At 44.9% G+C, this 26,022-nt stretch overlaps 2 protein-coding genes across 148 annotated transcripts in view; one reads left to right on the plus strand and one right to left on the minus strand.

Annotated features, from left to right (window-relative positions):
- KIAA1328 overlaps positions 1 to 10,438 on the plus strand; it is a 403,046-nt gene extending 392,608 nt beyond the window's left edge. For 22 of the 23 annotated variants that reach the window (NR_136304.2, NR_136305.2, XM_047437678.1 and 19 more), the window contains one exon: positions 283 to 3,600. Coding sequence is in view for 20 of the 23 variants with exons in the window: in XM_047437678.1 (XP_047293634.1) it covers positions 283 to 493 (211 nt within the window). In the remaining 3 variants the exon portion in view is untranslated. Of the gene's footprint in view, positions 1 to 282; positions 3,601 to 7,834; positions 7,926 to 9,639; positions 9,829 to 9,925 lie in introns of those variants that run through there. The other variant, NR_136303.3, reaches the window with a different exon arrangement.
- Positions 10,439 to 21,109: 10,671 nt separating this feature from the next.
- The window catches only part of CELF4 (CUGBP Elav-like family member 4), a 322,955-nt gene continuing 318,042 nt past the window's right edge, over positions 21,110 to 26,022 (minus strand). For 66 of the 125 annotated variants that reach the window (NM_001353722.2, NM_001353711.2, NM_001353725.2 and 63 more), the window contains one exon: positions 21,306 to 23,463. Coding sequence is in view for 17 of the 125 variants with exons in the window: in NM_001353739.2 (NP_001340668.1) it covers positions 23,437 to 23,463 (27 nt within the window). In the remaining 108 variants the exon portion in view is untranslated. Of the gene's footprint in view, positions 25,537 to 26,022 lie in introns of all 125 variants that reach the window. The other 59 variants (XM_047437652.1, XM_047437671.1, XM_047437667.1 and 56 more) reach the window with 2 other exon arrangements.

Below are 26,022 nucleotides of genomic sequence, written 5' to 3' on the forward strand. Positions count from 1 at the left end.
CTGTTATCATGATTACTCTTCCCACTCTACAATCTCTCTTCATAAGTTATAAAGGAATGTTAGGGGTCAGCAAAAGAGAAGAGCTTATGTACAGGCAGCAGGGCCTAGGTTCTTCAAGTCCTTCTGGTGTTTACCTTCACAAAAATTCCCTTAAGCATCATCTTATGCATGATGTGATCTGTAATCTAATTCTTGCCCTGGACAGCCCATTTCTGCTGGGCTTCTTGAATTCTCATTTTCTAATAATCTGATCCTTTCCTGTCTGGGTTATATGTCTTACAGGTATGAGACATCTTTGTTGGATTTGGTTCAGTCTCTGAGCCCAAACTCTGCGCCCAAACCTCAGCGCTATCCCTCCAGAGAAGCTGGGGCCTGGAATCATGGTACTTTCCGACTCAGTCCTCTAAAATCAACCCGGAAGAAGATGGGGATGCACAGAACCCCTGAAGAGTTGGAGGAGAATCAGATTCTGGAAGATATATTTTTCATTTGACATATTGCAAAATTTTCTTAGGAAATTTGTGGGTTTCCTCACATACTGATCTAGGATTTTAAATTATTTCATTGCAAAGTAATTGTGTCTCTCCTTTCACGGGGACTTGTCTCACTAGCATCCTGTTACGTATTGAATATAGAAATCATTCTAACAACCCAGGTTATTTTCAATCAGACCAGGCATTCGATAACACACTAAGGGGGTAGGAATGGAAGATGGTATCTTTTATATGCTAAACAGATTAGAAAATTAACATAGGATACTTTCTGCGTGGTGGAAACCATTGCATATTCAGCCTCATTTCAAGAGTGTTTCCTTCTCAAACTTCTGCTAGAAAATGCTGACTCACTTTTATATACAAGAAAAACCTTTCCACTGAAAAATCCCTCTGATTTAAAAGTAACCCCTTTGAAACATAAGCAGTTTCAGAAAGGCAGACTCTCTCATCTTTCTCATCCTGTTCTCTCACTACTACATTTCTGTAAGTGGTCCTTTAATTCTGAAGTTGGAGTTGGTGCCCCTGCCATCACAAACAACACGAGAGCCAATTGTGAGTCAGTCTCAGTAGCCATCAGCCTGGCAGCTGCCCATCCCATAACCAAAGAGCTCAATGGGCTGGAGGGTGAGACCCAGCCAATCCTTGGGAGCAAGCAGCACTAAATCACATCAGGGAGTGATTAGTCCTGGGGAAATTCAGTGGAGGCACAAGCCTGAAGCACTCTTCTACCAATGTTTGGGTGACCACCCCTCCAATATCCCAGAATGAATAAGAACAATCCCTAGGTATTTTTATTTACCCAAGTGTTCAGCTTATTCACCCCACCCCCCCACCCCCCATCACACGTGCTCCTGTGAACTTTCCATGGTTATGTCTACGGAAAATGCCACTAGAGAGAGAGTGATGCAAGCTGCTGCAAAGCTGATGGGCTTCCTCTGGCCCTCCCTTTTCCTCCACGAGGATTAAAGGATACAAGCTGACCAGGCCTCACAGGTGCTCTGCTCGTGGCCCCAAAGAACCATCTCTACTTGCCAGAGTATGTTCCACCACCCAAGCAGGGTCTCCCTACTTTTTCTCACTGGCCTCGTTTTGACCCAGAGAAAGCCTATGGAAGTTATGCAGTGCAGACCTCATCCTGTCTGCTGTCTTTTCTCCCACAGAGCTCTTGAGATGGGTCCTTCAGCTTGCAGTGGTCCCTAGTAGCCTCTCAAGCTAATGGGGATGATGATCCTGGTTTAGCCAGAGTTCAAAACTCTCCAGTCATTGAAAGCAAGGGGAGGGTGTGTTCCCAGATGTGTATTACTTGGGAATTTTATTTGATCTGGAGGGTGTGGCTTTTTTTCTCTCCTTTTTACCAACCCCAACTAAACTGGGAGTAAGACTTAGTCAGTGTTGGTAGACAAAGTCATACCACCCAGGGCAGCCTGCATGCAGCGAGTCTGCGTGGCTTCCCTGAATTACTCTTTTAATTAAAACTAGATTATTTCAATCTAGAAAAGCCTTGTTGAGCAGCCTCCTTATCCAGATAGATCCAAAGCTCATGTCTCTTCAGGCTGAGACTGGCGCTGTCACCTCCACCCAGCCTTCTTTCACTTGGGGTTTTTTATTCTTTGGAGTAGAAAAGAATGGAGCCCACTAATATTATATTTTTCTTCTGAAATAAATATAAAGTCAAGACTAACTAGTTATAATCATTCCCTTAAAAAGTTGGAAAATCATTACAGATTAAAATTTCTTTATAAAGTTCACCTCTGAGAGTAACCAAATCGGTTTCATCCCATATCAAAAAGCCTTTGGAGTGTGGAGCTTTCTGTGGTATGGCAGAAATGGGTGGATGGCAAACTAAGAGCCCTCAGCCATTTTTTCAGTTAAAGTTAGGTTGCCAGAACTTTCTTTTCCTTGCCCCCTGTGTCATGACTAGCTTAAGTGTACTTGACTCCCATAGACTACTCCCATGCCCACAGTCACCCATTCCAGACTCCAGTGTCCTTAAAACTCTGGAGTGAGAGGATGCCAGAGGATCAAGAAAAGGATCACAGTTTCTTGAAGAAGCTTGTTTGCCTTTAGAAGAATCGTAAACAGAGTCTAAACTAAAGGCTTTTTGGGGGTCACAGCCACAGAGTGGAGTTTTATTGCTTCTTTGCCTCTCCATGAATGGCCAATTTGGAAAAGCAGAGATGGGCTTTCAGCAGAATATCAACCAATACATTTTTCACATGCAAAACTCATCACCAGTTGCCTTTTTCTAACTTAATGGACATTTTGTTGGTGTTGGTGCAAGGGCAATAGGATGTAAATTTGTATATAATCTAATGTCTTCATTATTAATTGAATAGTACATGTTAACATTTTAATCTATTTAAATTTACTTTGAAATATATACATACATATGAATGAAAGGTTGTTACAGAGCCTCAAAGCTGTTGCAGACTATCCCAAGAGAAAGGATCTGGCACAAAGGAATCTGCCTTTCCTCCGTCTCAAGTCTCCCACCCTTGACTGGTTGGGATTTGCTCGTCCAGCCTCTAGACACTTCCCAAAGCAAGACTGGACACATGCCGAGGGCGTTGCGGATAGTGCCTCACCATTGCCCACCCTGCTGCCCAACTCCTGTGAGAGAAAAACCAATCAATGTTTACAAAATGGAAAAGGACACAGCATGTCCTTTGAACTCCCTAAGTAAGGCCCACAGTTCTTGATGCAGAGAACCAAAGTGAATCATAGAAAAGCTTTTGCTAACAGTCCGCTTTCCAGGAGGCAAACTTGTGTTTATCCAAACCTGATCCCCATGATGGGGACTTTTCTAGAGCACCCCAAATGTCATGGGGAGAGAGGGACTCTTTCTGCTCCCTCAGAGCTACTCTTCACTTGTCCCTGCTTCCGGCACCAAGTTCATAATAGAGATCTTCTGGCCAGAGAATCAGGGGAGAGGAGAGGCCTGATGGGGCAGAGCTGGACGAAGTCTGCTAAGAGAGATGGAGGCTGTGGCGGACTCCTTCCAACTCACGATTTATCCTCAGCTCAGAGTGTATTTTGAATATGAGCAAATGTTTATGTACGTATGAGATTTCAAGTTAATAAATCATCTCTATGGCTATTTTCCCCATGTGGGTTTGATATTGAATTGTCCCTTGAACATCCCTCATCAGATCAGTGAGGCATAGCTTGAAAGCAAGTGCAGACCTGCAGGTTATCAAAATGTTATTTTCCTCAGTACTTGTTAAAACAGCAGGAGCCTGTCGTTGACTGAGAGAAAGGAAATGGTTTGTCACATCCCAGTAGGTTTTTCTGCTGTGGCTCCTGCTCACTCACATCACGTGAACACCAAGCCGCCTCTAGATTTTGTGCTTGTTGGAACAGAACATTCAGTCTCTCTGCACCTGTAAGTCCCTTCTCTGTGCCTACCCCCATAGCTGCTCAGCAAGGAAGAAGTATCACAGCACTTTAAGACAAGAAAAATGGCCCTGCCTAGTTGCCTTTAGTTGCTGGAAGAATGTATGTGAGGGCTTCAGTGTCTAAAGTGCTCAATTCTGAGATCACACCTGTGGATTCAACTCAGACAGAGACCCTGTCCTGCCCCCTGTTCCCCAACCCAGGCTGGCACCTGCACCTGAATACGGAGACTTCGCACCTGCCCCTCAGAGGCACAGGTAGCAGGAACAGAATCATTACTCAAACAGCTCCCAAACTGAAAATGAAAATTGCTCATGGACTACTGGTAACACCATTTGGGTGTTTAGGAATCTGGAGACCCAGTCTGGGAATCAAGGGACTTCAGTCAAGTGTAAGATCCCCCCTAATTTGAAAAAAATACCCTGTGAATAGCCCAGACTTTCAGCTAACTTTATCATCCCTTCTTTCCACCACTGTGGTTCTCTCTTTCCTTTTGCAGCAAGACTTCTAAAGGGAGCAGTCTTGGATTCATTGCCCCTTAACACCTCACAAACTGGCTTTCACCCAAGCCCAGTTTAAAGAGAGACGAGTCAAAGTCAAGTTTTCACTCTTGACTTTTCAGCACTCCTTGCCAATCAGCAACGAAAGCCCTTTTTAAATTTTTTTTTTTTTGGTAATAGCTTTATGAGATATTACTCAAATACTGTACAGTCTACCTATTTAAAGTGTACAGTTCAGTAGTCTTTAGTATATTCACAGAGTTGCCTCCATCACCACAATCAATTTTAGAACATTTTCATCACTCCGAAGAGAAACCCATACCCTTTAGCAGTCACCCTCCATACTGCCAGCCCTAGCCTACCATTAATTGACTTGCTGTCTCTATACAATTGCATATCTGGACATGTCATATTAATGAAATCATATTCTATGTGGTCTTCTGTAACTGGCTTTCACAGCATAACGTTTTCAAGGTTCATTTATGCTGTCACATATACATGGTTCCTTTTGATTGCCAAATAATACTGTATCATATGAATATATGACATTTTTGTTTATCCATTCATCAGTTGATGGACATTTGGGTTGTTCCCTTTTTTTTTTTTTTTTTTGTTATTATGAAGAATGCTGCCATGAAGATCCATGCAAAACATTTTTTTTTTTTGACAGAGTTTCGTTCTTGTTGCCTAGGCTGGAGTGCAATGGCGCAATCTCAGCTCACTGCAACCTCCGCCTCCCGGGTTCAAGCAATTCTTCTGCCTCAGCCTCCCCAGTAGCTGGTATTACAGGCATTCGCCACCACGCCCAACTAATTTTGTATTTTTAGTAGAGACGGGGTTTCCCCATGTTGGTCAGGCTGGTCTTGAACTCCCGACCTCAGGTGATCCGCCTGCCTCGGCCTCTCAAAGTGCTGGGATTACGGGTGTGAGCCACCGCGCCCAGGCCCATGCAAAACTTTTTGTATGGACACTCCCTTAAACCAAAGCCTAATCCAGAGCAAAGCCCTGGCTCTTTTCAATTCTATGAAGGCTGAGAGAGATGAAGTTATAGATGAAAAGCTTGCAGCTAGCAGAGGTTTAAGGAAAGAGACCATCTCCATAATGTAAAAGTATAATGTGAAACAGCAAGTGCTGATATAGAAGCTACGGCAAGTTATTTATCTGGAAGATCTACCTAGGATCATTGATGAAGGTAGCTACACTAAACAATGGATTTTCAATGTAAATTAAACAGCCTTCTATTGGAAGAAGATGCCATTGAGGACTTCCGTAACTAGAGAGGAGAAGTCAATGCCTGGCTTCAAAGCTTCAGAGGACAGGCTGACTGTCTTTTTAGGGGCTAATGTAGTTAGTGACTTTAAGTTAAAGCCAATGCCCATTTACAATTCCGAAAATCCAAAGGCTATTCAGAATGATGCTAAATCTACTCTGCCCATGCTCTATAAAAGGAACAACAAAGCTTGCATAGCAGCACATCTGTTTACAGCATGGTTTACTGAATATTTTAAGCACACTGTTGAGGCCTACTGCTCAGAGAAAAAGATTTCTTTCAAAATATAACTGTTACAATATACTTGGTCACCCAAGACCTTTGATTAATATTTACAAGAAGAATGTTGTTTTCATGCCTCCTAACACAGCAACCATTCTGCAGCCCATGGATCAAGGAGTAATTTCAACTTTCCACATCTTATTGTTTGAGAAATACATAAATACATTTTTGAGGCTATTGCTACCATAGATAATGATTTATTTGATGGATTTGTGCCAAGTAAATTGAAAACCTTCTGGAAAGGATTCACCATCCTAGATGCCATTAAGAACATTTGTGATTCATGGGAGAAGGTCAAAATATCAAGATTAACAGGAGTTTGGAAGAAGTTGATTCTAACCCTCATGGATGACTTTGAGGGATTCAAGACTTTAATGAAGGAAGTCACTGCAGATGTGGTGGAAATAGCAAGAGAACTAGAATTAGAAGTGAAGCTAAAGATGTGACTGAATTGCTGCAATCTCATGATAAAACTTGAACAGATGAGGAGCTGGTTCTTCTGGATGAGCAAAGAAAGTGGTTTCTTGAGATGGAATCTACTTCTGATGAAGATGCTATGAACATAATTGAAATGACAACAAAAGACTTAGAATATTGTATAAATTTAATAAAGCAGCGTCGGGGTTTGAAGGAATTGACTCCAATTTTGAAAGATGTTCTACAGTGGGTAAAATGCTATCCAATAGCATCACATGCTACAGAGAAATTTTCATGAGAGGAAGGGTCAATTATGTGCCAAACTTCATTGTTGTCTTATTTTAAGAAATTGCTACAGCCACACTGATCAGCAACCCACACTGATCAGTCAGTAGCCATCAACATCAAGGCAAGACCCTCAGTGAGCAAAAAAAGATTACAACCCCCAGCCCGGCATGGTGGCTCACGCCTGTAATCCCACACTTTGTGAGTCTGAGGCGGGTGGATCACCTGAGGTCAGGAGTTCAAGACCAGCCTGACCAACATGGCGAAACCCCGTCTCTACTAAAAAATATAAAAATCAGCTGGGCATGGTGGCAGGCACCTGTAATCCCAGCTACTCAGGAGGCTGAGGCAGGAAAATCTCTTGAACCTGGGAGGCGGAGGTGGCAGTGAGCTGAGATTGCGCCACTGCACTCCAGCCTGGGAGACAGAGCAAGATTCCATCTCAGAAAAAAAAAAGAAAAAAAAAAGATTACAACCCACTGAAGGCTCAGATGATCCTTAGCAATAAAGGATTTTAAGTTAATATGTGTTGATTGTTTTTAGTCATGATACAGTTGCACACTTAGTGGACTACAGCACACTACAGTGGACTACAGTTGTGTGAACATAACTTTTATATGCACTGGGAAACAAAAAATTTGTGTGACTCCCTTTGTTGTGATATATGCTTTATAGTGGCGATCTGGAACTAGCCCCACAATATCTCTGAGGTATGCCTGTATGTCTTTGTGGGGTAATGACCTGGAAGTGATAGAGTTAGGAAAGAAGGATGAAAACCCAGACCGTGTGGGAGGAGGAGAGGAATCCAGAATGTTGGGCATGTAGAGTGGAGGCCGGTGGGTGCCAGGCAAGCATCGAAAACTCCTGAAGCACTTAACTGTGTGCCACACCCTTGGCTGGGCCCTGTGCACCATCTTATTCAATCCTTATGAGATGAGGCCTTTTTTCATAGTTTTCAAAATCATCCCATTATATGGGTTATTCTTGTAAGCTACATCATATCCTTTATGTAATGAGGCCAGGTATACATCTATGCACACCTAAAACTTGAGGGTGATTTTTTGCACCAATAATGAAAATGAAGTTTAGCAAAACTTGCCAAGGTCATCAACTAGTCAGAAATAGAATTCAGACTCAGAAACTGGGGTGGGAGGGTCATTTTTTACTTCTTCCCTTCTCTTTCCTATTTCTAGTCAATCTTCAAGAAGTATCAAGTCCATCCAGGCGCGGTGGCTTACACCTGTAATCCCAGGCTTTGGGAGGCCGAGGCAGCCGGATCATGAGGTCAGGAGATCGAGACCATCCTGGCTAACACGGTGAAACCCCATCTCTGTATTTTGTATTTGTAAAAATACAAAAAATTACCTGAGCGTGGTGGCACGCACCTGTAGTCCCGGCTACTCAGGAGGCTGAGGCAGGAGAATCACTTGAACCCGGGAGGCGGAGGTTGCAGTGAGCCAAGATCATGCCGCTGCACTCCAGCCTGGGTGACAGAGCAAGACTCCATCTCAAAAAAAAAAAAAAAAAAAGTATCAAGTCCACTTCCTATTTTCAAACTTACCCACTTCTCTCTCTCTTTGCTGATGCTTCTCTAGTACGACAGTTTCTTTATTGGTCTTCCTGCCCTATGGCCTGGATTCATGCTAGAACATGTAACTCTCTCTGCCTCACTCATCTTTAAATGGGGATCATTGCAGAACCTACCTCATGAAGTTATTGTGAAGGTTAAATGAGCTAACACAGGTAGAGTGTTCAGCATAGAATATAATAAGCACTCAGCAAGGGTAACCTATTATTCTCCATAAAGCCACCAGGTCATTATATCATGTCACAACCTGGATTAAAGCATTAGTTAGTTTCCCACTGCCCTCTGTGTTTGTACTTCTGCACATACTGCACAAGGCTCTTGGTGATATGGCCCACTGCAGCCTTTAGACCTCCAGCCCCTTCTTTTCCCACTCTATTCCTCTTGACTTCCGTGCTTCAGCCACACTGAGCTTCCAGTAGTTTCTAAAGGCACTGTAATACCCTTTTCCTGACCTTAGGAGCTTTCTCAGCCCTCTGTACATCTTTTATCACAATACTTACTGTGCTGGAATGGCCTGTTTACTTTTCTGATTTCTCCTTTAGTCCGTAAGCCCAGGATGGCCAGAAAAAGATATCAGTCTTATTCATCACTAATTCCTCAGAATTCAGCATGGTTCCTGGCACGTTATAGGCTCCCAAACATTATTTATCAAATAGGTGGATGGGTAGGCACATAGGAGGGAGGAAGAAAATTTAACAATTCTGTGGCCCCAAAGTCCAGTACCCTTTGGACTACTCCAGCCTTCTTGCAGCTCTCTAAAGCAAGTAGAAAGTAAGTGCCATACTCAGAGGACTGGGGAGGGTGGGGCTAGAAGACACCTCCTTTCCTCCCGCTTCAGTCCTATCTTCCACATTCACTAGCATTTTCTTTCTTACAAATCTAAGATTTGTAACTTCAGTGCTTAAAATACACAAGTTCCCCACTGCTTACAGGAAAGGAGTGCACCCCTTAGAGTGGCACACCGGAACTGTCAGCATCTTGCCCCTCCCTTCTCCCCTCTGCAGCTCACAACTCTTGGCCGTCTCCCAAGGACATGCTGCTGTTTCCTGCCTATGTGACTTTTCCAGGTCCCTCTATCTTGGATGAATCTTTCCAGACCTTGCTCAGTTATCATCACTTCCATGGAGGTTTCCTAATCTCTCAGGCATCATTATATACTCTTGGCTCCCATAGTACTCTGTAGAGCCTTTGTTATAGCCCACCTCAATCTGTCCCATATTGCTCTGTGCACTGTCTGCCCTATTAGAATGTAAAGTGTTCAAAGAAAACATATATTCACTTTGGAGAACCCAGCCTTACCACTTGTGAGCTGTGTAGATTTAGGCAAGTTGCCTATATTCTCTAAGCCTCGAATATAATAATGCATAAAAATATTTATTAAGATGAGAAGTGACCATTTCTGCCTTACAGGTTTGGTGCCTGGAATGCTGACCTAGATCTGGAAACTAGCCCAGATGAAAGCAAGAATGATGAGGCCACAGTGTCCATGAAAGTAGGGTGAGGAGGGTGTCCAGTGGAGCCAGAGGGAGTGCCAAGAGGGAGGTCCTTGGAACACGGAGGATCCAGAAGGCCCAGGAGTAGAAAGCAGCGTTGGCATTTGTAAGAAAGTAGAAGAGGTGGTTGGCCAGAGGACAGGCCCTGTTCAAGATCTGACCAGGACATCAGAGCTGGCCTCTCCCTCCCTTCTTCCTTGCAGGCCACAGCTGAGCAGCCTTAACTGACACCTCCTTGGCACCAGCACACAAACAATGGCCCATGGCCTGACGTCTTCCAGGATGCCCTAGGCCCGTGCCCTTCACCTGTTCTGCAGCTGTAAGACTGTGGTGTTTGCCCTCCTTGATTCTTCCAGGTACTGCCCCACCCTGTTCTTCTCCCCATTCTTTGAGTGCTGAGATTGGCCAGTCCCATGCTGAGATGAGGGAGCTGGAGGAGGGGAGACTGGCTCTCACTCCTCATTGCTGCCCATTGGGATGGGATGAACTTCACAGCTCTGGTTTCCTCTGTTCTTCTCTCAGCTGCAGGTGATTTAAGCTTGTTGGATTTATATAACATTGGGAAATGGTAAACTGTGTAAATTTGCTATGTTTTCCAGGGACAGTTATTTATGGAAGGGCATTTTTAACTCGAGTGCTAGAAGTGTTAAATCATTATAATAAATTCATGCTATTCAGACTTTCTTACATTGTAATAAATTTTTTCTAAGCATGAATGAGAAGATCCATGATTCTTCTAATATACCATTATGTATTTCTTCTCAAAATGACACAGCTTACTACAAGTTGGAGAATAATAGAAGGAGATTTACTGTGTTGGAGGGGAAAAAAAGCAGTTGAGCAGGGATGAGTCTGAGAAAGGACTTTGGAGCAGTGATCACAAGCAGAACTTCTCCCTGCCTCTCCGCTTGCTTAGCCAGATGGAAGGAACAGGCATTGAGGGGTTGCATCCCCTCAATCTCCCACCTGAGCTTAGGGACAGCCTTTGTGCACAGAAATGGGGCACCCTAGTTGCCCTCTGCGCTGTCCTGTCCAGGGGCAGGTGTGGGAGTGAGGCTGTGTTAGAAAGAGAAGCGGTCTTTCCTCATGATATCAAAGCCCTGCCAGGAACATCAGTCTGGGCAGAGAGCTGCCCTGCATATAGCACCCTCTCCTCACCTCACTCTTCACCTGAGAGCTCACCTGGATCAGAAGATTCATACCTTCCACCAGATTCTCAAAGGGATCTGTGACCCAAAAAAATTCAGGAATCACTGGTCTTGGGTGAATTCTGAAGCATTTTCTGATTGTCCACTATGTGCTAACCAAAGTTCAGCAACATAGCTCCAGACTTCCAGCAGAGGACAGGGCAGTGAGGCAGAAGGTCAAGTTGAGCTGCAATTAAGAGTTCCTTGAGGTCAGTGCAGTCACAGAGCCCTGAACAGTAACCTCTGGGTCAGGGTCTTCAATCAGAATTTTCCCAGGCAGAGAAGCACTGTGTTCAAAGGCATGGAGAAAAGAACCCCAAGGTAGTGAGCTCATGGACAGCCTTGAATGCTAGGCTTGGCATTTAAACTTGGAGGAGCAGCAAGGCTCATGCTTGCATAGGCCCATGAGACCTGCATAGACTGCAGTCCTTGGCAACAGTTTACTTAGTGTTCCATCAGAGGCTTGGGTTTAAGTTCTTGCTCTGTAGCTGTGTGACATTGCACAAGTCCCTTCACCACTCAGTGCCTGTCTGCAAAACATAGATAGCACATGTATGCATGCCTGCCTTGCCTGGCACAGTATCTGTAGGGATCTGATGGAAGGATGCTCATGCACCTGCTGAGTAAACAACTGCAAACCTCTTTATACATATCAGGTGTCTATAATTTATCTGGAGGCTGGCAAGGGGCAGTGGGCCCCTCTGAAGCATGGAGAGTGGGGGATTCCATGATAGCCAGACAGAGCTGGGAAGCTGGGCCTGCCAGCTCCCAACCATCGCTGCCTCCCGCGCATGTCACCACCTCAGGCAGTGCCTCCAGCAGGGCACCCCACTGCCACACTTGCCCTGGTTTGAGAATGTCATTTACCTCTGTTTCTCCCATCAGCCTAGAACTTCGTCCCTCATACAAGGTCCTGGCTTCTTAAGACACCTCTGCCTCAATGGCCCTGGCTCTCCAGATCTCAGCCTTGAGGAGTGTCAGCATCAGGCAGAGCTGAGAGCCGTTCCAGGGTTGGGACCTCAGTTGTGGTCCACATGGCCATCTGCCTCCATGAGGGGTGCCTATGGGTAACTCCTGCCCTTCTTTCTCGTACTCCCCACCCCAGCCTCCATCCTCCACGTCTAGTATTTCCAAATCTGTCCCTTTCTTCAGAACTGAACAATTAGTGATATTATTTTCTTGTTTTGCCAGTCAGGCTGCCCCTGGGGATGGGGTGGGAAGGGCATCCCCAATTGTTTCTGAGCCATGGCTAGTGTGTTTTTAATGGGCTGGAGGAGAAACCATGGTGGCCTGATCATGCTGCTGTGACTGCCGAGGTTGCAAGCTTTCCATGTCTATGTTTGGGGGTCTCTCCTTTGATGTTACCCAGCGCATTGTCTGAGGAAGGAAGCAGGTGGGGATTGGTCTCTGCAATGCCCGGTCCACGTGACTGACCGCTCTCCCCAAGCTAACCCAGCTAATGTTCAAACAAGCCATTTTTTTCATACATTTTATTTTGAAGTCAGACATACAGAGAAGTTTTAGAAATAACACAAGGAATACTTTTATACCCTTTACTCATATTCCCCAAGTGTTAACATTTAACTTGTTTGCTTTATCATACTCTCTCACACACATATAAACACTGTATTATTACTTTTTTCTGGAAACATTTGAGAGTAAATTGCTGACCTAATATCCTTATTTCCCCAAAAAGTTCAGTATATATTTCCTAAACAAGGACAGCCTCTTATATAACCACAGTACAGGTATCAAAATTAAGAAATCAATGCTGACACAGTACCTGATCTTATTTAAGTGTTGCCAGTTGTTGAACTAATATCCTTTGTAACCAAAAAACAAAAACAAAAAAAAGAAAGAAATTCTGGCCAAGGATCACAAGTTACATTTAGTTGTCTTGTCTCTTTAAATGAGCACAAGCCATTTACTTCATAGAACATTTTGGGTTTGTCTTGTTTCCTTATGATTAGATTCTGGTTATGCATTCTCAGCAAGAATAAGTGACACTGTCTCCTTTTGAACACATCTGACCAGGAGGCCCATGATAGCATTTGTTACATATTACATTCCAGATGATACTTACTTTGATCACCTGGTTAAGGTGGTATCTGCCAGGTTTCTCCTTGTATAATAAAATTACTAACTTTCCCTTTGTAATGTATAAGTATTTTGTGGGGGTATACTTTGAGGCTATGTAAATATTGTTTCTCATACCTTTTTTTTTACCCACTTGTTTTATCATCCATTGATGTTTCAGCACATTGCGTTTAAATCCTTAGTCTTCTACTTTGCCCCTGCCTACTCTCTTTGACCAGTCCACTCCTAGGAGACAGATTGGAAACAGAGACCATTTACTTCTGATCCTCAGGGCCATTAGGTAGGCCAAGAACTACATACAAAGCAACACACAACAGCATGGGAACAAGAGCCCAGTGAAGTGGTTCCCACTCAGGGCACTAGAAAGTCAGAAAACAGGTGCTCTGTTTCCAGTAGACCCCCTGGAGTAGGTGGACCCTGGACTAGGACTTAAGGACAGGGAGAATTTGGATGGCCAGAAATCTGGAATGGCATGAGAATCTGTGTCCATATGCCATATTTGAGGGCCCCAGTGAGACCCTGCCCCGAATGCCTGTCATCCCAGGAGCTCCCAGAGTACTGGGAAGACCTGAACCACCAGGCTTTCTTTTGATCCCTGTTCAGAGTTAGGGCAACATGGGGCAGAGGGGCCCTGCAAAGAGTGGGCCAGGCCCAGGGTGCTTCAGAAGAGGCCTGTGGAAGGCATCCCCGCTTCCACTCCCCACCTCTTCTCATGCATTCAGCAAACACTGGTGAGCACCTACTCCATGCCAGATATTGAAGTCAATGCTGAAGACACATAATACTCTCAAAGGGGATGCTTTGAGCCCAGAGATTCTTAAGGTCACTCAGCACTGAGGGCAAGGCAGGAGCTGGATCCTGCCCAGAATCAAGAGCAAAATACAGTGGAGGATAAAACCCTTTGCCAAGCTCCCTCATTCCAGGGTGACTGTCATACCCAGAGCAAGGATGAGGGTACTCACAGTCATGCATCTCCTCTGACCTCTCTTCTCCAGTGCCCTTTCCCGGCACTTGGCAGAGAGCTTCAGGGACACTGACGCTGGGCCAAATCCCTGAGACCCAGGCTGCCTGCTCACTTTGCAGAGGAGGGATCTGAGGCCAGAGAGATCTGAGCCTTTCCAGGACTGGCCTGACTTCACTTTTCTGCCCTGTGGATAGGCTGTGTGTCTCTGTTTGAGGCTTGGAAGCACAGTCAGCAAGGAGGCTTTTGAGGCAGGAGCCATTATGCCTTGAATATGTGCCTTGAATAGGTAGCTTTTTCCAATGTAATATGAAGATTACATACACGGCGTCTGCCATAGGGCAGACCTGGGTTCAAATCCCAGTTCTGGGGTTCACGTGACTTTCATACAGCATATAAGCTCATCTGTAAAATAGGGCCCAGGATTGCTGCGAAGGTTAACTGGAATGGTGTCCCTGAAGTAGCCAGGACAGTGTCCAGATGACAAGTAGGTAGATTGTTTTGAAACAAGGCCTGTGTCTTCCCCCAGCATATTCCCAGCCTACCTAAAATATCTTGCAGTTCTTCAGACGGTCTGGGGTCCTTTGTTCCTTCATGACCCCTCCCATGGAGTCCGTGTAACACCCGCTCACCCTACAAAACCTGACCCAGGTGTCTCCACTTTCCCAGACAGGGCCACTTGCCTTCCCTCCTCTGGGCTGTCCTGGGCCCCCAACACAGTTCCCACAGGCTAGTGTGCAGTTGTCTTTTGCTTGTCAAGGAACCTCATGGGGGAATTAGTGCAGCTGATTTCGAATCCTGGCTCCATTACTTTCTTACAGTGTGGTTTGGGGCAAGTTACCTACCTTATCCAAGCCTGTTTGTTCATCTGTAAGGTAGGGTGATAGCACCTTGCAGAATTACAGGATTAGAGATAATACCCATAACATACCTCACATTGGGCCTGGAAAGTACCCAGTGTGTGCTATCTTCATCTCTTCACCTCTAATCCTTAGTGCAGTGCTGTGCTCAGTAGGTACACTATAAATACTGGTTCAGCAGGTTAGGGAACAAATTACTCCCCATGCCCAGGTAGTTTTCATTTTAAAAGCAGAACTAATGAGGCCCAGGTCTAACCCAAAGAAAAAGGCCTAACAATGGGATCTGAGACCCTGTGTAGGACGGGAGTACAGTGAGAAGCTTGGGGCATGTGTGTTGGATCTCCTTAGTAGAAGCCCACATCCTGCCCATGCAGGGTGAAAATGACCCACAGTTGTCCTGATCCTGAAGCCCCTCCTTGGTTCCCATGAGGAGAGCAGGAAATGGAAGGGAAACAAGGTTGACAGCTCCTGGGCCCTCTGGACTTCCTGCCATCCCAATGCCCATGGCTCCCTGAGCTGGGCCCCAGGAATAGGTAAGGACAGAGAGGCAACAGCAACAATGAATCATGTTGGAGACCCTGAAGACAAGAGGCATCTTTGTGCCTCAATTAGTGAAGTATGGGGCCTTCACAAATGGCTGAATTTTCCCCTTTATTTTAAAAAGCTTATTTTTTTTTATTTTTTATTTATTTATTTTTTTTGAGAAGGAGTCTCACTCTGTCGCCAGGCTGGAGTGCAGTGGCGCAATCTCGGCTCACTGCAAGCTCCGCCTCCCAGGTTCAATCGATTCTCCTGCCTCAGCCTCCCGAGTAGCTGGGATTACTGGCATGCGCCACCACGACCGGCTAATTTTTTGTATTTTAGTAGAGACGGGGTTTCACCACGTTGGCCAGGATGGTCTCGATCTCCTGACCTCGTGATCCTCCCACCTCGGCCTCCCAAAGTGCTGGGATTACAGGCATGAGCCACCACCTCCAGCAATAAGCTTAATTTTTTTATAAGCAAATTCTTAAAATCAATGCAAACCCAGTTGAGCACCTCCAGTTTGCACTGATCTTAAGAATTTGCTTATCATTTTCTCCAGTGTTAAGTGTACTGGGGGAAATGGCTGACACAGCTCAAAAGGCTTTTGAACTTCAGGTAGCTCCATAAAATGTTAATAAATATTATATTTATTACAATTTAATTTTCTCTCCTTGTTAATAATAAAAGCTCCTGTCTGTCCCTACAACCAGCAAGTGCTACCAAGGAGGGGGACTTATGCACCCATTAGCAACACGTTTACTAACTTGTTACTCACTCACCTTTAAGAACTCCAGCTCTATCAAGGAGAGAAGATAATCAAGGAGAGAAGGGAAGAAAAGGATTGGTACCTAGATCAATATAGATGCTGTCATTTCTTAAAGGTGAAATTGGGGTTGTTGAGAAAAAAAATCAGAAGAAAGAAGGGAGTAGGAGACATGAGAGAAGGGCTGGAGGGGAGTAACTGTGCAGAGAGTTTATAACTGAGGGAGATGTGATGTAGAGATCAAGGGCACAGCCATGCAGCTAGACCTGGACTTGAATGCTGATTCTGGGTAATTTAGGTGAGGGACTTAACCTCTCTGAGCCTCAGTTTTTGCATCTGTAAAGTAGGGTAATATCATCTGCATCATAGAATTATTGTGAGAATTCGATGAGATTATAACTAAGCAGTTCTTAATGCAGTGGCTAGTACAGAGCAGCACCCCATAAATGACAGCTACACCCGTGCCTCAATGAATGATGCCCAAATGATAAGAGTGGAACTGGATGGCCCTGATGCCTCTGCTCAGTCAGTGGGTCCCGAGCATCCCAAGGCCTGGGCTCACCTCTTGGGAGTCACATGGGGCAGCTACAGGAGCCTAGGCACATCACTGCCTGGCTCTGGGTCTCCTCACTGAAAATGAGGATGACAGCTGAGTTCCTTCCACCTACACACTCCATGCCCACACACTTAAAGAGCAGGGTAAACAAGAACTGGCAACACAGGCTGCTGCTAGGGAGAGAAATGGATGACTGGATTCAGGGGTGGGAAGAACTTCATTGTTTCCTTTTTCCTGTGTTTTGAATTTTGAAATATATGAATACATTATTCAAAAAAATAGATAAAAAATTTTAAAATGCAAAGACCAAATTAGTATGCAGCCTGAGGCCATGTGAGCCCAGAGGAGGAAGGTTGCAGACAGCAGCAGTCACAGTTGCATTGGGAATGCTCTTGCGAAAGGAAAGGGCAAAGAGAGCAGCAGGGGCGCAGGAGTGTCAGCTAATTGGGGTCCCTGGAAAGAGCAGTGAGAGGCAGAGGTGTGTGCACCTCGGCATGACAGGAATTCTCTGGGAGTGGCATATGCTGACTGGACTTCACAAAAAAATGACCTAAAATGGTCTTGTGTCAAGTTCAAGTTTGCTTCTGTTGGGAGGTGGATTGTCAATAGAATGGAATTAAGAAAAGGGAAGGAGGATGAGATCGCAGCCTGAGCCATTCATTCTGAGTATCTATGCTGTAAGAAATTTGCCACTCTGATAATCCTTGGGGTGGAATGTAGCTGAGTGTGGCTGTCTCTTGTTCACTTCTCAACACTCTCGGGGATGATATTATCCCCATTTTAGAGATAAGGAAATTGAGGCTCAGAGAGGTTAAGTAATGTTTCCAAAGTGACACAGAAGGTATTAGAGAGAACTGTGATTTTAATCCTGGTCTGAAGTCAAAGTCCATGCCTTTTTCACTCTGATACCCTAATCCTTCCATCTCCTCTGCTAGTCTGGGAAAGTCCTGGTTAGAGCTCCACAAAGGGCAGAAGCAGAGATGGAGATGCTCAGAGTTTCCTGAAGAGGCAAACAGTTAGGCTGGCAGGAAGAGGGAGAAAGGGTGATACAGAGGGCCCTGGGGAGCTGATGCTGGCTCTCCAGGCTTCCACTCTGTCACTAGCAAGTCCCGGGGCACCTGGGAGTGTTGGGGACCAGAGACTGGGGGGTAACCAAGGGGAGAACTTGAGGAGAGAAGGGAGGGCAGCTTAGAGAAATGGAGGGAGGGTCAGTAGGGGGAGGAAACTAGAAAGTTAAAATAAAAATCTTATACTTGCAAGCATTTATCTGGGGATGGGAGGGTGTGTTGACTATACACTTATTCCACGTGCTGTCACTACTTAAAGAGTATTTCCAGAACAGCTGCCTCTTTGGGACATGCCTTCAGTTGTCCGTAATTTGTCCATTCCTTCCTTCCTTATTCACTCATTAATGCAGGAATGAATCAATATTGACTGAATATCCAACTTCCAGAACTCACTAGTCTGTTGAAGGTAGTACATCAATGGTAGCTAATAATTTTTATTTGGGGGTGGGTTCCATTTGGGTAAATAGTCAAATGGCATTCACAGCCAAGTCTGATGCTGTCACTTTGGGCTGGGCTTCCTAAGCTCACTGCCATATGTCCCTTATCCACTTTACCAAGTGGGCAAGCAAGGTGGGGAATGTTTATCTGTGTTTTATCCACTGTAATTCAAACACTAGCCCTGCAGACCCTGTGCTATGGGGATCTGCAGCTTTGCCCAGATGACTAGCAGCAGTCCTGGAGGATGGAGGCCTTGGCAGTGCTTGCATGAGTGGGGAAGCTCTAGTATGTCTTGTGTTTCTCTCTACCAGTGCTTAGCATGAGGGACGGAGGTGTAATCCTGCTCAGAACAGGAAAAAGGTCAGATCTTTAGAAAAACACAGAGGGAGATGGGAGCATTAAATGAAAAGTCTCATATAAACATAACTTTTTCATACTAGCATCACAGAGATAGGAGGATAAAAGGAGAAGAAAGAGAAAAGAGAAGCTGTGACTACAAAGCTTTGGAGGAAGAGCTGGAAGGACTTTGAAAGTGCTGCTGGGAACAGGTGCAGTTGCCCTGGGGAGGTGCTGGAGAGAAGCCTGGGGCTCCCACCAGGAGCCAGTTCCACCCCAGGATAAGGCTGTGGTGAGGCTATGAAGGCCAAGTTCCCCAGCGGCTGCCACAGCAAGGTTACAGATGCCCAACAGGCCAGAGCCAGCTGGCAGACATCAATGCAGCATGGAAAACATTAAGGGGAAGTGGAGGCATTTAGCAATGAAATGACTTGATACCTGGGATTTTTGTCAAACTACTGTTGGAGTTGAGGTATGCTGAAGCTAGGTAGTGAGTACTTGCCTAAGGGATTCCTTAGGCAAGTGTCTCTACTCTTGTTTCTTGTGCTTGAAATAAAAAGTTTCTAATAATAAGCAAAAGGTCTTTTACAAATAGGGGTGCTATGAAGAAGCCACACACTGCATATAGGATAATAGCAAAGGAATAAAAGCCATAGAATAGAAGCAGAAATCAACAAGAATTTTGTCTTGGGTTCTCTTAACTAACATTGCAAATCAGGAGTTCTTAACCAGGGAGTGATGGATGAGTTGCAGGGATCCCTGAGCTCTCTCTCCATAATCATGTGCAAAGTGATCCAGTAGTTTCCAGCAAGTTTTCAAGGAATCTCTTTTCCCCAGAGGTTAATAAATTGTATTCTCTCTTAAGTGTGCTATGCATGTATCAGTCACCTGGTGCGTGGTTTTTACATTGAAGGTTTCTTTTATAGAACTGGAATGTTCATATCTGGCTCCAGTGTTGTCAGCTCCCCTCTCAGTCAGCCATACCCGGAAGAGGGCGAAATTGCCTGGCTGGCTTCACAGCCCATCTCTCTGGTGACAGCTCCCAGGGTGCCTAAGCCCTTAGCTACAACACTTTAAGTGGAGGTAGGGGAGGGCTATGTCCCAGAGACAAGGGTACACAGTGGGGAGGTGGACACAAACAGGAGAGGTCTGGGGAGGTCACTTGGGGATCTCTGGGAGGCTTCCTGGGGTCTGAAAGAGTAAGAGGGGGTGCTGGGGGTTGAGGCTGTCCTCTTTCAGCTGCAGGTATGCAACAGAAATCACCGTGTTGACTAGTCGGAGGCTCAAAACCTAAAGACACCTCCCCACTCCCCAGAGAATTTCTTAGAAAACACCTTCCATTCTTCTCAGGGCAGAATAATACCCAGTCTGACATCCAGCCCCTTGAAGCTAATTCTTCCAAGAAGTGCAGCTCCCTAGAATGGACACAGCAGGCTGTCACTTGGACTTGCAGCCCTGTTGAACAGCAAAAGGGGGTTAGTTTAGGGGACATTCAGGGTCTCCTCAGTCCCTCTCTCGGAACCATGTCCACATTTAGGTCAAGGCTGGAAGGCCTTCCCTTATTTGCTGATACACGAAGATCTTTCTCTCCAGCCTAATGCATCACAGGCCAACATCAGAAGCACAGATTTGGCCCCTGGCCCTGAAAAGAGAGATGGGAGGAGAGGATGGAGCATGGGATCCAGGCACTGCTCTGTAGCTGGGGCTCTGAGCTCTACTCTCCATACCCTCCTTCAGAGGAGACAGGTGGGGACCGAAGCCATTTCCCCATCTCCCACAGGGGGACACAGACTGACAGGCAGTCAATGACCCTTGTTTCTGGGGCCTTGTCTTCTCTCCTCCAGGCATCTGAACCTTGCAGCTTCCCTGCCCCTCACTTGGCAGCCCTCCTGTCTCAGCAGTGGAGAGAGGTGGGGGCCCTGGGAAAGAGTTGCCCGTTCCTAGACCAGACTGCAGAGCTGAGGGCAGGGGAAGGGAAGGAGGTGGGATAGTGAAGATTGAGAAGGTCTGTCCCAGGCCAGGACTGGGTGAAGGCATGCAGCTGGTGTGCAGCTGTCTGGGCTCTCCTCTCCAGAGGCCTGCCGCCCCTCTCCAAGTCCTGCGTGGTGTTCTTCCTCCTTCGGAATGCTTTTCCCTCCCACCCTGGCATTCAGGGTCTGGACACCTCTCTCCAGCTCGTATCTAAGTGTAGGACAGGCAGCATGCCAGGAAACGCCCCAGGGGAGGGCCCCTACTCTTCTTTCTACATCCTTGCCCCCACCAGGACCCTGACTGAGGGCCCAGAATCCTGTTTTCTCCATCCCTGCAAACTGCCAAAGCAGCGGGAGGTGTGGGGCCAAGAGCAAGATGCTTGCTGGTAAATTTGGAGTTGCATCCTCATCCTTCTTCCTTTATTGTGGCCTCTTCCCTCCACTGCCTCCTTCCCTAAGGTGTCACATAACTTCCCCCCCCAACCCAACACTTGCTCGGCCTTCAGGTCGGGTGGCCTAGGTAGCCTCCTTTCTGTTCTGCTTGGACACTGTGGCCACCTCTGCCAGGAACCCAGAAGAATGAATTTGCAGTGGGGACTTTCAGAGACACACACCAGTCCAGAGAGATTCTTCCTAGAGTGGAACAGGACCTCCTTTTATTGTTCCCATCACCTCCCAGAAGAGCCTCACATGCTGAGGCTCAGAACGAGGGCCTGTGTGGCAGATTCCATAAAGAGGACCAAAGCTACTTCCAGTGGGCAAGCCTTGGGGCTGTGAGGCACAGCTGGCCAGAGTCCGAGAGGCACAGACCAATGAAGAAATATTTTTTTAAACTGTGCTTTATTTAGGGCTAAGCTGGAGAAAGCGTCATCCAATAGTTACAGAAGGTTACAAGGAGTTTTAGGGAGTTGAGTGTGAAAAGAGCAGTTGTACTGAACTGCAGCTGTTTTCTTTTTTTTTTCTTTTTTTCTTTTTTTTTTTTTTTTTTTTACATCTGGACATCCTAAAAGGAGGAGTCAAGAGAAAAAAAGAAAATGAAAAACAACAACAACAACAAAATTGACAGAAAGAAAGGAAAGGCAGGAGGCCCTAGAGGAACTGGAAATTTGTTCTTCTAAAGGGAAACTGGTAGGTCTGAGAACCCCCGGCCTCCAGATGACCTGGACATCAATGAGAAGGAATCAAGGCAGAATGCCAAAGCAATCTTCCCAAGGGTGCAAATAAATTATAATAAATATGTTATACTTTAAAATATATGTGTTCTTAAATAATTCAGTGTTTTTTCTGATTCTGAGTTTTTTAAGCAATGTCTTTAACTGCTCTAAAGTCATTTACCAAAGATAAATATCGTGCTTTCATTAAATAGTTTTCCTTGTTTTTTTCTCTATCATTACAATTAAAAGTCCTACAAAATATGCAAATTTATTTACAGAAAAACAGAGCCGGCATCATTTAAACATCCCTGTTTTTCAAAATTCCTTGTAAACAGTTTCAGAAATTCTTCAAAGATTGTTTATTTTTCTCTCTCTTTTTTAAGGTTTTGTGTGTGTGTGTGTTGTCTAGTTGTTTTAAGATGAAAGTTCCCAGTTCTCCCTTGCCCGGAAAGTCTCTGGAGCAAGCGTGGAAGGCGAGTGAAGCGGAAGGTGAGTGAAGCGCGCGCAGCTCCCAGAGGGAAGCGAGAGGCGAGGATGACGGCGGCGGCGGCGGCGGCGACCCGGGCGACGCGACCGTTCCCGACCGACGGCGTGGCCTCCACCGGCGTCGGCAGCCAGGCGCCCGCAGGTGTGGGGCGAGTTCGGCCTGGCCCTTGGGGACAACGGCATCCGACTGCACTCGCGGGGAGAAGGGATTGATGCTCTGTCTAAACTCTACAAAAGTACAGTCCTACAACATCTGGGATTTTAGCAGTAATGCTAACTTCTATAGGTTTTTTTTTTCCTTTTTTATTTTTTTTTTTTATTTTTTGCTTTCCTCTAATTTTTCTTCTATTATATAGGTATTTTAAACTTTTCCTTTTTAAAATTCTGTACAACTATTATGATTTTAAGAGGGGGAAGAGTTAGAAGCATTTACAGACTTTTCACAACAATGACCTTGCTTGGTAAGTCCCATTTGTTCCCCTCCTTGTTTTCTCACACTTCACGGGTGAGTTTTAAGATTTGTGTTGCTTTCCCCAAATATCCACCAATTTGTTCATCTTTTAACAGCTCCATCCAGACATAGAATACAGAAAACCATAGGAAAGTGTCATAGACTTGGATGAGGGTCATCAAAGCGCCTCTCAAAGTATCAAAGAACTATTATCTTGCTGTTTTAAAAGCATTGAAGCGTTATTTTTCCTTTTTTTGTTGTTTTTTTTGTTTTTTGTTTTTTTTTTAATTTTTTATTACATTTTTTCATAGAATCGCTCTAAGCTGTTTCAAGAACAGCCATGAGGCAGGAAGGAGGGGGTCCTCCATTCCCCCTCTATTTGACATAGAGCTACACATCTGCAATAAAAAGTTTGGTCCTTTGGTCCCTAAATAGCTAAAGGAATGACAGATAGAGATGCTCAGTGGCGGCCTCTCAGCCGCCCCTTGGGGACCAGGCCCCACGCACCACTTGCCCCAGCCTGCGTCAGGCGCCCGTGGGCTGGAAAAGCCCCGGGATCGGTAAGCAGCGTCTCCTCCCAGCTCCCAGCCCTTCAGCCTCCCCGTCTGCTCGTGATATTTTGTTTTAAAGTTGCCTTTTGTGTGTTTTTTTCTCATTTTTCTTCATCTTCTTCTTCATGTCATATATATTTTCCCCCAAACACGTGCCCTCTGAACTCCATAGACGCTATACTTTCCTTGAAGAAATGTTACAGTCACACAGACAGTGTCTGGAGTCTTCAGCTTGATTGATATTGGCTGATATGTCAAAGGTGTCATCCAACAGTTCTCATTTATAAATATATATAGAGAGAGGTTTGTTTTTTAATGTAGCCCGTTCAGCATCCTGCCCTAAAATGAAGAAAATCAGGGCTGATTAAGCCAAGAGGGAAAACACAAACAGCATCCAAACACCAATAGGAACCTGCCTCAGGGGCTAGGATGGGAGCTCTAGGGGATGGTGGGAGGGAAGGAAGAGAGACCAGTATGAGAATTAGTCATGATCATGATACATTAAAAAGAAATATACTCTTCTATTCAGAGTAGAAACCACTGGGAGGTCTAGTGGTGATGGTTGTAGCTGAGGTTTCGTTGTTGGGAGAAGGTTCTTGATTTGGGTTACTTTAGCATTCTGGATTGGGGGTAGCTACATCTAAGGGGAGAATTTGGGACTGCGGGATATGAATTCATAATTAAACTTGTCTCTGAGGGATCTAGCCCAGATACAATATGTATACAGAAGCCTAGCAAACAAGATAGGAAAAATCTAGCAGCCCAGCCCACTCCTCCCAGCTCAAGGGAAAGAAGGAAGACACATCCGTGACTCAAATTTTGTAGAATCCTTGCCCAGCTTCCAGCCAACCACTTCTTTCCCGGGGTCAGTAACTATTTGCGAGGCTGTGTATATATATGTATATCTGGATATATGTGTAGAATATATTCACCTGCACATATGTGGATATACATGGATATGTGTGTATGTATATGCATATATACACACATACACACACATAATACTTTTCTCATACATGCCAGGGAATTTAGAGGAATTCAGAACTTCAAGGGAGTGGATGGGAAAACCTAAAAAAGGTCAGAAGAGATTTAATTATCAAACTTAAATAAATTAACTCAGACAGTGCTTGATTTTGTTTTGAATGGTGGCTTTTTGGTGTTTTGTTTTGCTTTAAAAAAATCATGATCTGACTAGAATCAGAAGGCGAATGCTTAATCATTGTGAATTAACAAATGAGACTCATCTCCATTCTAGCAAGCAGCTTCCACTTATACATGGGGGTGACTGGTTACATCAAGAAAGTTAGAACTGCAAAGCCCCCACTTGAGGGGACAACGTCATGCGTATATCAATCCATGCTGGCAGGTTTTTCACACTGTTGATTCAACAAACAGCAAACCGTACACAGCAGTCTAAACAATTACAACACCAAATAAAATAATAATAAAATTAAAAAACACTTGTCAAGGACCCTTTTTCAGTTGTAAACAAAAAGGTGCATTTTGCTTTTGTTAGTACTGTTTCTTCCAAACCAACCAAAAAAAACCCTCCCGAGCCCCCAGTCCCCAGCCTCCCCTCCCCACATTTAATTTAGCAGAAGTGGTTACAATACAAACCTTACAATTGTTACCGGGCTCTCTTGCAGAGGCCTCTGGCTTTGTACTCTAGTTTTTTGGTTTAGAATTTTTTTATCATTCTGTTACTGTAGATATTTTGTTTTTGTTTTTTTGTTTTTGTTTTTTTTCCCTTTGAAGTGAGATTGAAAATAGCCTAACTGGAAAAAGACCAGACCTAGGAAAGTGTCAATTGAAAAAGGCCCCCAAATTTCTAGAAAAAAATAAAATCACAATATTTTCAAGTGCAAGTAAATCAACCACGCATAGATATTTTTAAGATGTTTTCCTTATTTTTAAGAAAAAAATAATGGTTTGCACAGGTAAATGATCCCATGTTTGATAATTCAGGAATTCATCTTTATTTTGACTATTTTTTGTTCTTTTGTTTTGTTTTTTTCTCTATGTGACATCTAGAGAAGCATAAAAAAACGCTGAACAAGAAAAACCAAACAACAGAAAGTAAAACCACTGCAAGCACCAAGAACGAAACGAAAATGAGCACAGCAAAAAAGATTGTGGCAGCACAAAAGTCAAGAAAATGCACGTGTGATCATGACTGGCCAATCATCAACTGATACAACATCCAAGAAAAACGCTCCAATCACAGCACCTCCACGAAACTTGACGGCAATTGTCATGCAACCGATTCTTAGCCTTGTTACATGACGCCATCATGTCACACTGTGAACTTTGAGTTGATTTGAACTTACGGATGGGGGACTTTTCTCCACTCTCATGTGATTACGTGAACTTTATTCCTAGCTCAGCGCGAGACTGTGGTGGATTTGACTGGCCCTGGTTGGGTTGTTGGAATTTGATTGAATGACAAAAGAAGAAAAGATTTATATATATATTTATATATGTAGAGAGAGAGAGAGAGAGGACAAGAGAGTGTGGGTGGGGGAAGGAAGAGGTGGGGCAGGGCAGGTGGGGTTGGGGAGTGTGGGAGGGCAGGGAGGGCTGGGATTTGGGTGAAGGAGGGCAAGGAAGAAGTTAAAACAAAATTAAAAAGAAAATATATTTATACAGCACCAGACCACAGCATCAATCTAGAAGCTCTGATGAGAGAACAGCAGTCAAATCATAAGAGAACTGAAAAGAACTCAAAGGATGGAGGAAGCCAGCAGACAAACATGGGCACATCAACACACACACACGCACACACACACGCACGCACACACATACACACATACACACACACGGTTGTTTATGCAGACACATGATACACTGTGAACAGAAGCAGAACCTCACACAGGGCCACTAAGGGCATCCATCATGCGT

Source organism: Homo sapiens, chromosome 18 (genome assembly GCF_000001405.40).
Source record: "Homo sapiens chromosome 18, GRCh38.p14 Primary Assembly".
NCBI classification, from domain to species: domain Eukaryota; kingdom Metazoa; phylum Chordata; class Mammalia; order Primates; family Hominidae; genus Homo; species Homo sapiens.